Raw genomic sequence first — 13,199 nt, forward strand, 5'->3', positions numbered from 1 at the left:
ATATCTCGAAATGGCTTCTGCTTGGCCATCCTGACAGAAGTGGCCTTGCAAAGCTGTCTTGAGTGGGGAAAATTTGCATTTGTAGAGAATCCCCATTTCCCTCTCTCCTTTATATGACTTTTCCAAGATCCAGAAGAGATTGAGCCCGACACCTTTAAAAGTCTGAAAAGAAATATTTGCCATCTATTCTCTCAGAAAGAGGCTTCATCTACATATTAAGGCCACCTTTGCTAGCCAAGCTTCTTCCTTTCTTTCTCTCTTTTTTTTTTTTTTTTCTGAGGCGGAGTCTCGCTCCGTCCCCCAGGCGGGAGTGCAGTGGCGCGATCTCGGCTCACTGCAAGCTCCGCCTCCCGGGTTCACGCCATCTTGCCACTAAACCTGATTTACCAACATAACCTGTTTCTGGCCATGCTGTGAATCTGCATTCTTTACTGTGTCCTTGGGATACTAGGTAAGTTTCTGTATGTCACTGGAAAGTTGAGTCTTTAGTCTGAAGCTACTGTGTGTATGCGTTACATACAACTGTATGCCTTTTCTCCTGTTAATCAATCTGCCTGATATCAGTGAAGTTTAGCAAACCTTTAAGGGACCAAGAGCCTATGGTACCTACAATAACATGCTTGGCAATGGGAAGAAGGTACAATACCTTCCTCCGAGAATTTTCTTTTAGTTTGGTGTTAGAGAAGGAAACATGAGAAGTATAGTATACTAGTTAATAGAATGTCTGGAGTCAAATTGTCTGTGTTAGAAGCTTCTCTGTTTGCTAACTCTGTTACTTTGAATAATACTCTTAACCTCTTTGTGCCCATTTCATAATCTTGAAATGGGGAAAATAATATGCTAACTTACAGGGTCATTATCTTCCTAGGAAGTACGGGGGTCCTTGGTTCTTGTTCTACTTAGGAGAAATAATTCAGTCAAGAACCAAGTAATAAAATAAGCAAAAGATCTATTAAGGAAATAAGAGTACGCTCCAAGAGAGGACTGGGCTGACCTGGCTGGGAGCAGACCCAAGAATTCTTCATTGTGGTTTTTATTATGTTGGACTGTTTCTTTAAGTTCCCTCCTCTTTCTTAAGTCTCTGCCTTTGTCTTTGTATAGTTTCCCACTTCTGTCTTAAGTCTCTGCCCTTGTCTCCATGTAGTAGTTCCTGCTCAGGTTTGTGAGATTCTCCCTTACTGTCAGTTGATGTGCACATGTGGGCCCAGTGATCAATACAAACTCTACCTAAGGTGTTCCTCATGACCACAACCCCTGGAGGGTCATATAGCTGTTAAATCTGTACTTATTTTGCTTGCGTATCTCTTAGGAATTTCCCCTTTGTCCTTTTTCCCTTTTTTTTTTTTTATTATACTTTAAGTTTTAGGGTACATGTGCACAACGTGCAGGTTTGTTACATATGTATACATGTGCCATGTTGGTATGCTGCACCCATTAACTCGTCATTTAACATTAGGTATATCTCCTAATGCTATCCCTCCCCATTTGATCCTTTTTCCCTTCTTATCAGCATGTGGCTAGCTACATTCTGACAGGTTAACTGCAGAGTGAGCAACTACTGAGCATTGTAAGGGGCATTTCTGGGTGTTCTTTTCTGCATAGGTATTTCCCTTCTTATCTGCTTATATTTTGCATGTATGTTTTAGGTGGTCTCTAGGGCATGAGATTTTCCAGAGCTTTCTCCTTCAGGGGCTCCCTTTCCTGCTCATGTTTAACTATCTGCCTACTCCAAAATTCCCCCCTCAAAAGTTTGAGACCCTAACAATTTTTGAGTCTAGGAGTATCTTGGGTCTTCTGTAACTACTTCCTGCTGATACAGAATTAACTCATCCAGGGTCTCCTTCTCTTGCCCTCTGTCAGGAGCCCCTCCTTTTCCCCGAACCTTTTCCTGCATTCAAGGGAGAGGTGTTTACATAGGTGTTGGGATCTGCAAATGTAATATGTTATATCCTTGCTGTAATCTCATTTGATGACTGGTAGCCTGAATGCAGAAAGAAATAAATTTAGTTAACAAATTGACCAAGCAAAGGCCTAAGAGGAGAAGAAGGAGCACCGTGGAGAGTGGGCCAAGAGGAGGTCAGAATCAACTGAGGATGTTCCATGTCCCTGAGAATGGGCCTGAAGCTGCCTGTAGATGTTTAGCTTTTTCTTGTGGTTGTTGAATGCTGTCCTGTATGATTTCTAACTGGTTAACATTCTTCTTTGAGCATAGCACAGGTTCCTCCCTGGGCTGAGGTGCTGATGTCTAAGGCGTGTTGGTTTTGGAGGCCCATCCCTGCTAGGGAGTTAAATTGCTGGTCAAGCCATTGGACAACCAATGGCTTTGGTTGTCTCTTCAAGAGCCTGTCCTGGCTCATGGGATAAGGTGGTATGCATTTGCTGAAAGATTAAAATTCCTACACTCCTGTTCTTATTTTAGTTACTCCAGTTCTTAACCCCAGAGCTGTAAGTAAGGGAAGGAAGGCTATGACCACTCTTTGAGATGTGGACTTGGAGGGAAGGGGGATAGGTACTGACTGATGTTGGTTTAGGAGGGCCACATCAAGGGAAAGATAAATTAATGAGCAAGTTCCCCTCCAATTGTTAGAGAAGAATAGGTAAGTCTGACTTTTTATAGCATAGCCAAGGGCATAGCTAACTCCACATGTCCCCAGGCCTTGCCAAGAATTTAATTACTCTAAAGCAGGCAAGTTGAATAATTATCAAAAGTCATAGAAACAGTTTATGACCTAGGTAACATTATCTGTTTGATGTTTTTGGGCCTGAAAACTCTGAGATGAGGAGGGAGGAGCCATTTGCTTATCTTTTTGTTTGAAGAGAAGCTTCAGGTCTTCCAATGGCTCAGAAGAGTAACTGGGCGTTGGTTCTTTTCCTGTTCTTTGGAGCCTTCCCAGGGTTTTATTTGGGAGTGATATATGCAACTAGAGATGTCAGGAACTTTGATAGCTGTTGGGGTGGAAAGTAAGACAGTAAAAGGACCCTTCCATAAGGGGGTTAGCTGAGACCCAGGTGACCAGTCTCTCCAGGTTTTAATGAGGACTTGCGACCCTGGCAGGTATACGAGTTGTTGGTTGTTGAAGGGGTCACTAGCCAGCAGTACTCTGTGTATATATTCAGTTAGTTCTAGGTATGAAATTCTGTCTTAGCTTTGAATACTTTGTATCCTCTTTTGCTAGAAAGTTTAAGGTTTGTATTGCATGTTGTTGTACAAGCTCTGTGGTGGGTGGGGCAAAGGAGTAGGTTATGTATATATTGTAGAAGTTGTCTTTCATCAAGAATAGCTTGGTTAGATTTCTTGCTAGGGCTTTATGGATGTGTGAGCTGTCTACAAAACCAGAGGTAGGACTGTCTGGATTGAAGTCATTGGTTAAAGGTTTAGGCAGCTTTTCCCGGGAGAAATAAGGCCATTGGGGGAAAGATGAATCCAGAGGTTGGGTAAATATTAAGGAGGCACCCACCTTGTGAAGTACATTCTTTCCCAAAAGGGGTGTGGGGCATTCGGACATTGCCAGGGTCTGGTGGGAGAATAGTAATTGATCCCCATATGCAATATAAAGTGGGTGTGAATCTTTATTGGGGGGTGCTATTTTCCCCCATCACCTAACTAGATTTGGAGGAAAGTTTTCCAAAGAAGGTTAGCACAAACTTGGTGGCCCTTGTATTTTTTTTTTTTAAATTATAGTCCTACCTGCCGCTTCCAGAGTTGCCCTTGGCTCTATTCCTTTAATGATTATGTCTGATCTGGGAGCTGGCTGTAGTGGAGGGCCCCTTCAGCTCAAGGCCATCATTAGATGGGGGATCCAGCGAGGGAGTCTTTTGGCTCCTGGGACAATCCTTACTCCAGTGGCTGAGCTTATGGCAAAGGGGGAGTTCATGTGGGGCTTTCTTCCAGTTGGGCAGTTCCTTCTTCAGTGGCCCGGTCTTTTGCACTGATGGCAGTTACCTGGGAGCGTATTTTTACGGCAGCTTGGTGGGGTCTGGAAGACTTGTAAAGTAGCCAATAGTTGAGCCTGCCTCCTCCTGTCTCTTTGTTTTTCTCTCTTCTTGACCCTGTATTCCTCACTCTGATCCCAGTTATAAAAGACCAATGAAGCTAAATTAAGGATTTCTGGCATAGAGGCACTGAGTCTTAAGGCTGACTTTTGCAATTTTCTCCTAATGTCTGGAGTGGCTTGAGTGAAGAAATGGTCCTTCAGGCCTAGTCCCTCTGGGAATTCTGTGTTTAAGTTGGTGTGCTTAATAAGGGTTTCCTGTAGCTTTTTAAGAAAGGCTATAGGATTTTCTTTTGGCCCCTAGTTTATGGTGGCTAAGCATAGGTAGGACAGAGGGATCTGGCTTATAAGCTTTACAAAGATTAGAGTCTTCCCTCAAAGCCATGAGGGTTTGTAAATAGGGGAGCTCTGACTATTTGCCCTGATGGCAGCAGAAAAAGTCCAGCTGGAGGATGGTATTAAAATTTGTACTTTTGTTCTCCAGCCAGATTTCCTCTGGTTTTATAAAGGAAAAATAGTTTTTTTTTTTCACTTTAGGGTTTGAGGGTTGAATTTATCTAAATTTTTAAGGATGCATCTCAGAAGGGGTGAATCTTGGGGTATGGAAGTCTGGTTATCCATTTTAAAGAGAAGACAAAGGAGAACTGTAGGATGAAAGAGGTGTCTCCCTGTCCATTCCTACAATGACTTATGAAGGTGAGGCATCCCTCACCAGACCAAGGAAGGCAAAATGCCCCTCACCTTGCACTTAGGGAGCTCTGGATTTGGTTGATTCTTGCTGTGTGCTCTTTTTGTCTCTGCTTTCTCTCTTTTAATCAGAAAGATTTCCCCAGTCTCATTTTGGTTAATATTTTACTGGTGACATCTTTCTTGCCTCTATTCCAGGCAAGGGGGTGGAGTAGTATCTGATACAGGAGTAATTTTGTTGCCTTTTATATTCTCAATGATCCTGGCCCTTTAAGAAACCCAATAGTTGTACCTCCGCCAAAGCTTGAAGAGAAGAGACCTCCACATAGGGTTGTTTTAGTCTATAATGACACTTAGATAAATGGTGTAGATGGTTAGAGGAGTCAGGGAAGATTTGAAACCTTCCCCTGTTTTGAGGAGGTTCCTTAGGGCTTATGCTGAAAAGATGCTTGAGAAGGCATGGTAATTCCTAGGTCCCAGGCTAAGTGGACTAGGTTCTTGACTCCAGTTTTTTATATAATTACATGAATGGCAAGGGGAGCCCAGGGACATTTTCTGTTGGTTTGTTTAATAAAAAGCAAAAAATGCTTTAGGGTTTCAGAGTTTGACAATAATGGTCTTAAGAGACAGAGGAAGAACATCCCATTGGCCCATAAGGAGCTCCAGTTGTAAAGTGAGACAGAAGGAAGAGAAGGTGGGGGCCGCAGATGGCTACCTGGAGGAGCCAGACAGCCCACTTGAGAAGCTAAAGCCTAATGTGTTTACTAAGGGTGGCCAGGCTAGAAAGGCCTGGTAATAAATGAAGGATGCTTTAAATGGTTGCAGGAGGAACCAGAGGAGCAGATCCTGCTAGGAGGCTAAGCATGAAGAAGGAATTCAAAGAAACCTTGTGGAGAACGAAGACACAGCAGGGAGTAAGCTAATTTGTGAGATTAACTGTCCATGGGGGCATGCCTCCTTTCTGTGGTTGCTAGCACCCACTCAGGGGAGAGAAGGGGGTAAAATGCAATGAAAGGAAAGTTTAACAGTGAAATTATTGGAGGATAACCATTTTATACTATTATTTATTTATTTATTTATTTTTATTTCAATGGTTTTTGGGGAACAGGTGGTGTTTGGTTGCATGGAAAAAATTGTTAGTGATAATTCCTGGTATTTTGGTGCATCCATCAGCCAAGCAGTGTACACTGCACCCAATGTGTACTATTTTATTCCTCACTCACCTCCCATCCTTCCCCGCAAAATTCCCAAAGTCCATTATGTAATTCTTAAGGCTTTGCATCCTCATAGCTTAGCTCCTACTTATAAGTGAGAATATATGATGTTTGATTTCCCAGTCCTGTGTTATTTCACTTAGAATAATGGTCTCCATCTCCATCCTGGTTGCTGCAAATGCCATTATTTTGTTCCCTTTTATGGCTGAATAGTATTCCATGGTATACATATATATATCACATTTTCTTTATCCACTCGTTGGTTGATGGGCATTGAGGCTGGTTCCATATTTTTTCATTTGCGAATTTTGTTGCTAAAAGCATGCATGTGCAAGTGTCTTTTTCATATAATGACTTTTTTCCTCTGGATAGACACCAAGTAGTGGGATTGCTGGATCAAATGGTAGTTCTACTTTCAGTTCCTTAAGGAATCTCCATGCTGTTTCCCACAGTGGTTATACTAGTTTACATTCCAACCAGCAGTGTAAAAGTGTCCCCTTTTCACCACCTCCATGCTAACATCTGTTATTTTTTGATATTTTAATTATGGCCATTCTTGCAGGAGTAAAGTGGTTTCTCATTGTGGTTTTGATTTGCATTTCCCTAATAATTAGTGATGTTGAGAATGTTTACATGTTTGTTGGCCATTTGTATATATTTTTTTGTGAATTGTTTATTCATGTCTTTTGCCCACTTTTTGATGAGATTTTTTTTTTCTTGCTGATTTGTTTGCATTCCTTGTAAATTTTGGATATTAGTTCTTTGTCAGATGTGTAGTTTGCAAATATTATTTCTCACTGTATGGGTTGTCTGTTTACTCTGCTGATTATTTCTTCTGCTGTGCAGAAGCCTTTTAGTTTAATTAGGTCCCATCTATTATCTTTGTTTTTGTTTTATTTGCTTTTGTGTTCTTGGTCATGAACTCTTTACCTAAGCCAATGTCTAGAAGAGTTTTGCCAATGTTATCTTCTAGAATTGTAATGGTTTCAGGTCTTAGATTTAAGTCTTTGATCCATCTTGTGTTGACTTTTGTATAAGGTGAGAGATGAAGATCCAGCTTCATTCTTCTACATGGGGCTTGCCAATGATCCCAGCATCATTTGTTGAATAGGGTGTCCTTTCCCCATTTTATGTGTTTGATTCCTTTGTTGAAGATCAGTTGGCTGTAAGTGTTTGGCTTTATTTCTGGGTTCTCTATTCTCTTCCATTTGTCCAGATGCCTGTTTTTATACCAGTACCATACTGTTTTGGTAACTATAATCTTGTAGTGTAGTTTGAAGTCAGGTAACGTGATGTCTCCAGACTTACTCTTTTCGCTTAGCCTTGCTTTGGCTATGTGGGCTGTCTTTTGGTTCCATATGAATTTTATGATTTTCTTTTCTAGTTCTGTGAAGAATGATGATGGCATTTTTATGGGAGTTGCATTGAATTTGTAGATTGCTTTTGGAAGTATAGTTATTTTCAAAATATTGATTCTACTTATCCATGAGCATGGGATACGTTTCCATTTGTTTGTGTTGTGGATAATTTCATTCCACAGTGGTGTTTTGTAGATTTTCCTGTAGAGATCTTTCACCTCCTTGGTTAGGTATATTCCTAAGTATTTTATTTTTTAAGAGCTGTTGTAAGAGAGATTGAGTTCTTGATTTGATTCTCAGTCTAGTTGTGGTTGGTGTGTAGCAGTGCTACTGAATTGTGTACATTGATTTTGTATCCTGAAACTCTGAATGCATTCAGCAGGTCCAGGAGCTTTTGGATGAGTCTTTAGGGTTTTCTAGGCATACAATCATATTATTGGCTAACAGTGACGGTTTGACTTCCTCTTTACTGATTTGGATGCCCTTTATTTCTTTCTCTTGTCTAATTGCTCTGGCTATGACTTTCAGTGCAATATTGAGTAGAAGTGGTGAAAGTGGGCAGCGGATTACCATTTTAGTTAAGAGATACGAAGATCCTCAGTCATTGCATGGCCTAGTCTTAATCCCCACCACCTTCACTAGCCTCCTCTCAGGGAGGCTTACAGTGGCTTAGATCTATGTGGTGTGGACCTTGAAGTCCTTCTACCTTCACTTGTCACCCCATCAGAGTCAACTGAGAAATCAGCCAGAGTTAGCATAGTCACAGTGGCTGAAGGGAATTGTACTGGAGATTTGTAAGAATGTGAAAGAGTGAGCAAAGGAAGGCCTCATTTTAAATTGGCAAGAACAGCATTAGGAGTGGGAGGTTTTTCTCAAAACTTTAGTAAAACAGCCCAGGAAGAAGCAGAGGTAGTTGACCAGGTAGTCTGAGACAACCATGGCACTTATCTTGAAGAACCATTTGCAGGTTAGGCTCTCTGAGTCACAGCACCACAATATGTTACTGGGAAGTATGTGGATCCTCAGTTCTTATCTTACTTGGGAGAAATAATTCCGCCAAGAGACAATTAGTAAAGTAAGCAAAAGTTTTATTAAGGAAATAAGAGTACACTCAAAGTGAGGAACAGGCTGACCTGGCTGGGAGCAGCCCTGAGAGTTCTGCGTTGTAGTTTTTATTATGTTGGACTTTTTCTTTAAGTTACCGCCTCTGTCTTAAGTCTCCACCTTTGTCTTTGTATGGTGTCCTGCTTCTTTCTTAAGTTTTGGCCTTGTCCTTGTCCTTGCCTTGTGGAATTGTCACTTACTCTCAGTTGATACACACGTGCAGGTCTGGTGATCAATATAGATTCTACCTAATGACAGAGTTACTCATGACCACCGTCCCTGCAAGGTCATGTAGTGGTCAAATAGGTACTTTTTGTGCCTGTGTAACTCTTAAGAATTTCCCCTTTGTCCTTTTTCCCTTGTTTTTTTTTTTTTTTTTTTTTTTTAGATGGAGTCTCGCTCTGTTGCCAAGGCTGGAGTGCAGTGGCACAATCTTAGCTCACTGCAAGCTCCGCCTCCCGGATTCAAGTGATTCTCCTGCCTTAGCCTCCCGAGTAGCTGGGATTACAGGCATGTGCCACCATGCCCAGCTAATTTTTGTATTTTTAGTAGAGGTGGTGTTTCACCATGTTGGCCAGGATGGTCTTGATCTCTTGACCTGGTGATCCGCCCGCCTCAGCCTCCCAAACTGCTGGGATTACAAGCATAAGCCACTGCGTCCGGCCCCCCTTTTTCCCTTCTTATCAGCATGAAGCTAGCTACATTCCGACAGGTTAACTGCAGAGTGAGCAATTACTGGGCATCTTAAAGGGTGTTTCGGGGCATTCCTCTCTGCATAGGTATTTACCCTCCTCTCTGCTCATATTTAGCATACATGTTTTGGGTGGTCTCTGGGGTGTGAGATTTTCCAGTGCTTCCTTCCTTTCCCACTCATGTCTAACTATCTGTCTACTCTGACAATTGTGAGGACTAAATTAAAGGTTATAATACAAATAAATTGCTTAGCATATACAAATAAATTGCTTAGCACGTGTCTAACACATAGTAAATGCCTAATAAATCCTTATTACTGTTACTGTCAAATCACTATACATTGTGATATGTTTTATGATAAAAGTAAGTACAAGATATTATGTGAACCCAGATAGAGGTACCAAACAAATCCTTGGTGGTTCAAAGAACTTATATAACTGACATATTCTAATGTTACAATTTAACAAATTTTTATTGATTGCCTACTGATGTTAGGTACTATGCTACGTTTTGATAATATAATGTGAACAAGTCATAATTTGTTCCTTCAAGTTGCTCATCGTCTGGTGGGAAAGGCAGATCATTATACAGTAGTATAATACACGCTGTGATTACCTAAGTGCAAGGTGTTCTAGGTGCATATAGGCAAAGTATATTATTCAATATTATGAGACCAAAAAAAACTTCTTAAGGGAAATATTATTGAAACTTAGATGTGAATAATGGATAGTACTAGTTTAGGAGAAGAAAAAGGGGCTCAGTATTCCAAAGAGAAGCAATGTGTACCACAGGCTTGCTATGGATTGAATGTTTATGTTTTTCCCAAATTCTTATGTTGAAATTGTATGGAATGTAATAGCAAGATATTAGTGACCTTATAAAAGAGAACCCAGAGAGCCAGCTCACCCCTTCCGCCATGTGGAGACACATCCATAAGGAGCCAAATAAGAACCAGAAAATGATTCCTCACTAGACACTGAACCTGTCAGTGCCTTGATCTTGGGTTTCCCAGGCTCCAGAATGATGAGAAATAAATTTCTGTTATTTTAAGCCACCAAGTTTATGGTAATTTGTTACAACAGCCACAGAAAACTAATACATACATGAACACTATTAATATAATAAAAGTATTTCCACATGTGCAAGAGATTAGAAAAGATCTTACTCCTGTGCCCATTCTGAAAAGTTACTTTAAGATGTGTTAGATGTTATAGACAAGAGAGAGGGAAATTAAAAATAAAAATCTCAAGAATATAAACATTGTGGTAAACAAGCACTGGAAATGCATTTTGAAATTAAATATATAGAGTTAAGGAGAAATAGTCATTGATAGCTATTAAATTGAAGACAAAGACAAAACAGTCTTGAAGTTTTATGTTTAAAAGTATTAATGGTATGACGTATTAGTCAAGGTTCTTCAGAGAGACAGAACCAATAAGATATATACAGATATATGAGAAGTAATTTAGTAGAAGGATTGACTCATGAGATCATGAAGGATGACTAGTCCCACAACAGGGTGTCCACAAGCTGGAGACTTTCAGATGCTGCTACTGTGGCTTTGCCAAAGTTCAAAGCCTGAGACCCTGGGGCAGGTGAGGTGGGGGTTGGGGGCTTGAGGTTGCACTTTCCTGGAGTCTAAAGGCCAGAGAGCTTAGAGTTCTGATGTGCAAGGGCAGAAGAAGAGTGTGTCCCAGCTCTGAGAAACAAAGAAGCCAATTTGCTTTTTCTCTGTTTTTGCTCCATCTGGACTCCATGTCAATTGGATGGTGCCCACCCGCATTGAGGGTAGCTCTTCCCCACTTAGTCCACTTAGACTCACAGGTAAATCTCCTCTGGAAACGCTCTTATAAACACATCCCAAAATAATGTTTTACCACTTCTCAAGGTGTAATCCAGTCAAGTTGAATCTAAAATTTGCCATCACATAGGATAACGCCAAAATTATTAGTCTGTATACCCAGATTATATTAAGTGACAGAAAATCAATTTGGGATGAGGCAGGAAGTGAAAGTACTTTCTAAACTATAAAATATTAGACAAGAAATATCATGGAAGGAGGTGCTAAACCAATTGGTATTTTGGACTTTTAATGAAGAGACATCATTGACAGCTGGTGAGAGAAAAAATGGTTAGATGTCAAAACTCTGACCTGATAGATGTTTAGAAACACTTCTAGATAGTGTGAGAAATACAGCATCCTCTCTTTCCCATTGGATATTCACATTTGAAATATCATTCAAAGTTTTGAGACGCTCTGCAGTAATTTTTTTTTAAAACCAATGTCTTCCAAGCTCATTTGTAAAAGGATCCCCTTTATTAAGCCGTACTATGTACCTCTCTGAACATCAATTTTGCAAGTCCCATATTAAAAGCATCTATACCAACCAAGATGAATGGCAATCCTTCCTCCCAACCTTATTAGTAAAGGGGATTAGAAGAAGGAGCAGCTAAGTCTATTAGTTTGCTTTCTTTCAACCTAACTCCTTTGTCAAAAAGTGAACTATCTCTACAGATTTTTTTAACCATTCCCTCATCTGAGGTCAACAATGCCATTGCTAGTAAAACCTGCTCTGTCACATGGCCTGATCCTGCAACATTCAACATGCAGAATCTCTTGAATGCTTTCCAGTTAGGGAATAGAAATGATCGGGGAAGAGACCACTCCCTTTTTGGCTGCTATTTTACAGAGAAGTTTCTGTTTTTCAAACAGCTGACTAGTAAGAAATAGGGGCAGTGGCTAGATTTTCCAGAAAATTTTCCTCTGTCACAAAGATAAACTTATTATTAAAAATGCTTTAAGGCCGGGTGTGGTGGCTCACGCCTGTAAGATCAGCACTTTGAGAGGCCGAGCAGGGCAGATCACCTGAGGTCAGGAGTTCAAAACCAGCCTGGCCAACAAGGCAAAACCCCATCTCTACTAAAAATACAAAAATTAGCCTGGCACGGTGGTGGGTGCCTGTAATCCAAGCTACTTGGGAGGCTGAGGCAGGAGAATTGCTTGAACCCGGGAGGCGGAGGTTGCAGTGAGCCGAGATTGCATCATTGCACTCCAGCCTGGACGACAGAGAGAGACTCCGTCTCAAAAAAAACCAACCAACCAACCAAATAAAAACTTTAAAATTCAGAAGCTTGTATATGTATAATTTTATACATTTGTACCTTTTAGACTTTCTCATTTAAAAATGCACAAATGATAGAATTTCTTTTCTCTTTTCCTCCAAGTAAATGACAAAGTATAGAAGACTAGACTAAAATTAGGAGTTTGAGGTTCTAATTTTAGTTCTGACACTTATTAAATATTTGCTGTTATGCAAGTAGATTAGTATAGTCACCTAAATTATGCCAAAGTCCTTTGATGCATTAAGGTCAACCTGTCCTTTAAGATTTACATAAATTGCCTCATATTCCCAACCACGTGTGGTGGGGAACCCAGGGTTTTCCCCAAGATCTCTAATGATTCTTTGACAGAATCATTAGAGATCTTGGGGAAATGACATTTTCCCTAGTCTCTTCTATATTTGATTTCCTAATACTGCCAATTTGTTGATCCACATTATGCTTCCACATATTTCAAACATGCAGTTGCTGTATAAGTATGCTACACTGGACCTACTCTAACATTCTCTCAGTAGAACACTAACCCAAAACTTGGTTATAAAAGCCTTTTATTGAAAGTTTTTGGGCATTAGGAGCATGACAAAATACAGGATAGCAAAGTATACTTAAAATATCAAGCATTCTTTGGCCATTCTGGTCACTAGAATCCCAATTAGTAATGGTGTCGAATTCTTTTTATGTATTACTGGATTCATCTTGCCAAGTTGAGCACTTTTGCATCCATATTCATAAGAGATATTGGTCTCTTCTATTGCAGTATCTTTGGTTTGGTATCAGAGCAATATTGTCTTCACAGAGTGAATTGGGAAGTGTTCCTTCCTCTTTGATTTTTTTTTGGAAAATTTGTGAAAATTGCCTTTTTTTTTTTTAAATGGAATTTATCAGTAAAGCCATGTGCACATGGACTTTTCTTTGTGGGTAGTTCTTTTTGTTTATTACTATTTCAATTTATTTTCTTGTTACAGATCTATTAATAATGTTTATATCTTCTTAAGTCAGTTTTAGTAGTTTATGTCTTTCGAGGAATTTGT

General features: G+C 40.2%; 1 long non-coding RNA gene across 2 annotated transcripts in view; it reads left to right on the top strand.

Annotated features, from left to right (window-relative positions):
- Positions 1–391: 391 nt before the first annotated feature.
- LINC03077 (long intergenic non-protein coding RNA 3077) overlaps positions 392–13,199 on the top strand; it is a 293,892-nt gene continuing 281,084 nt past the window's right edge. Inside the window, exons 1-2 of one of the 2 annotated variants that reach the window (NR_186574.1) lie at positions 392–451; positions 5,505–5,593. This is a non-coding gene — a long non-coding RNA (long intergenic non-protein coding RNA 3077). The remainder of the gene's footprint in view (positions 452–5,504; positions 5,594–13,199) is intronic. The other variant, NR_186575.1, reaches the window with a different exon arrangement.

The sequence above is a fragment of the Homo sapiens genome, chromosome X (assembly GCF_000001405.40).
Source record: "Homo sapiens chromosome X, GRCh38.p14 Primary Assembly".
NCBI classification, from domain to species: domain Eukaryota; kingdom Metazoa; phylum Chordata; class Mammalia; order Primates; family Hominidae; genus Homo; species Homo sapiens.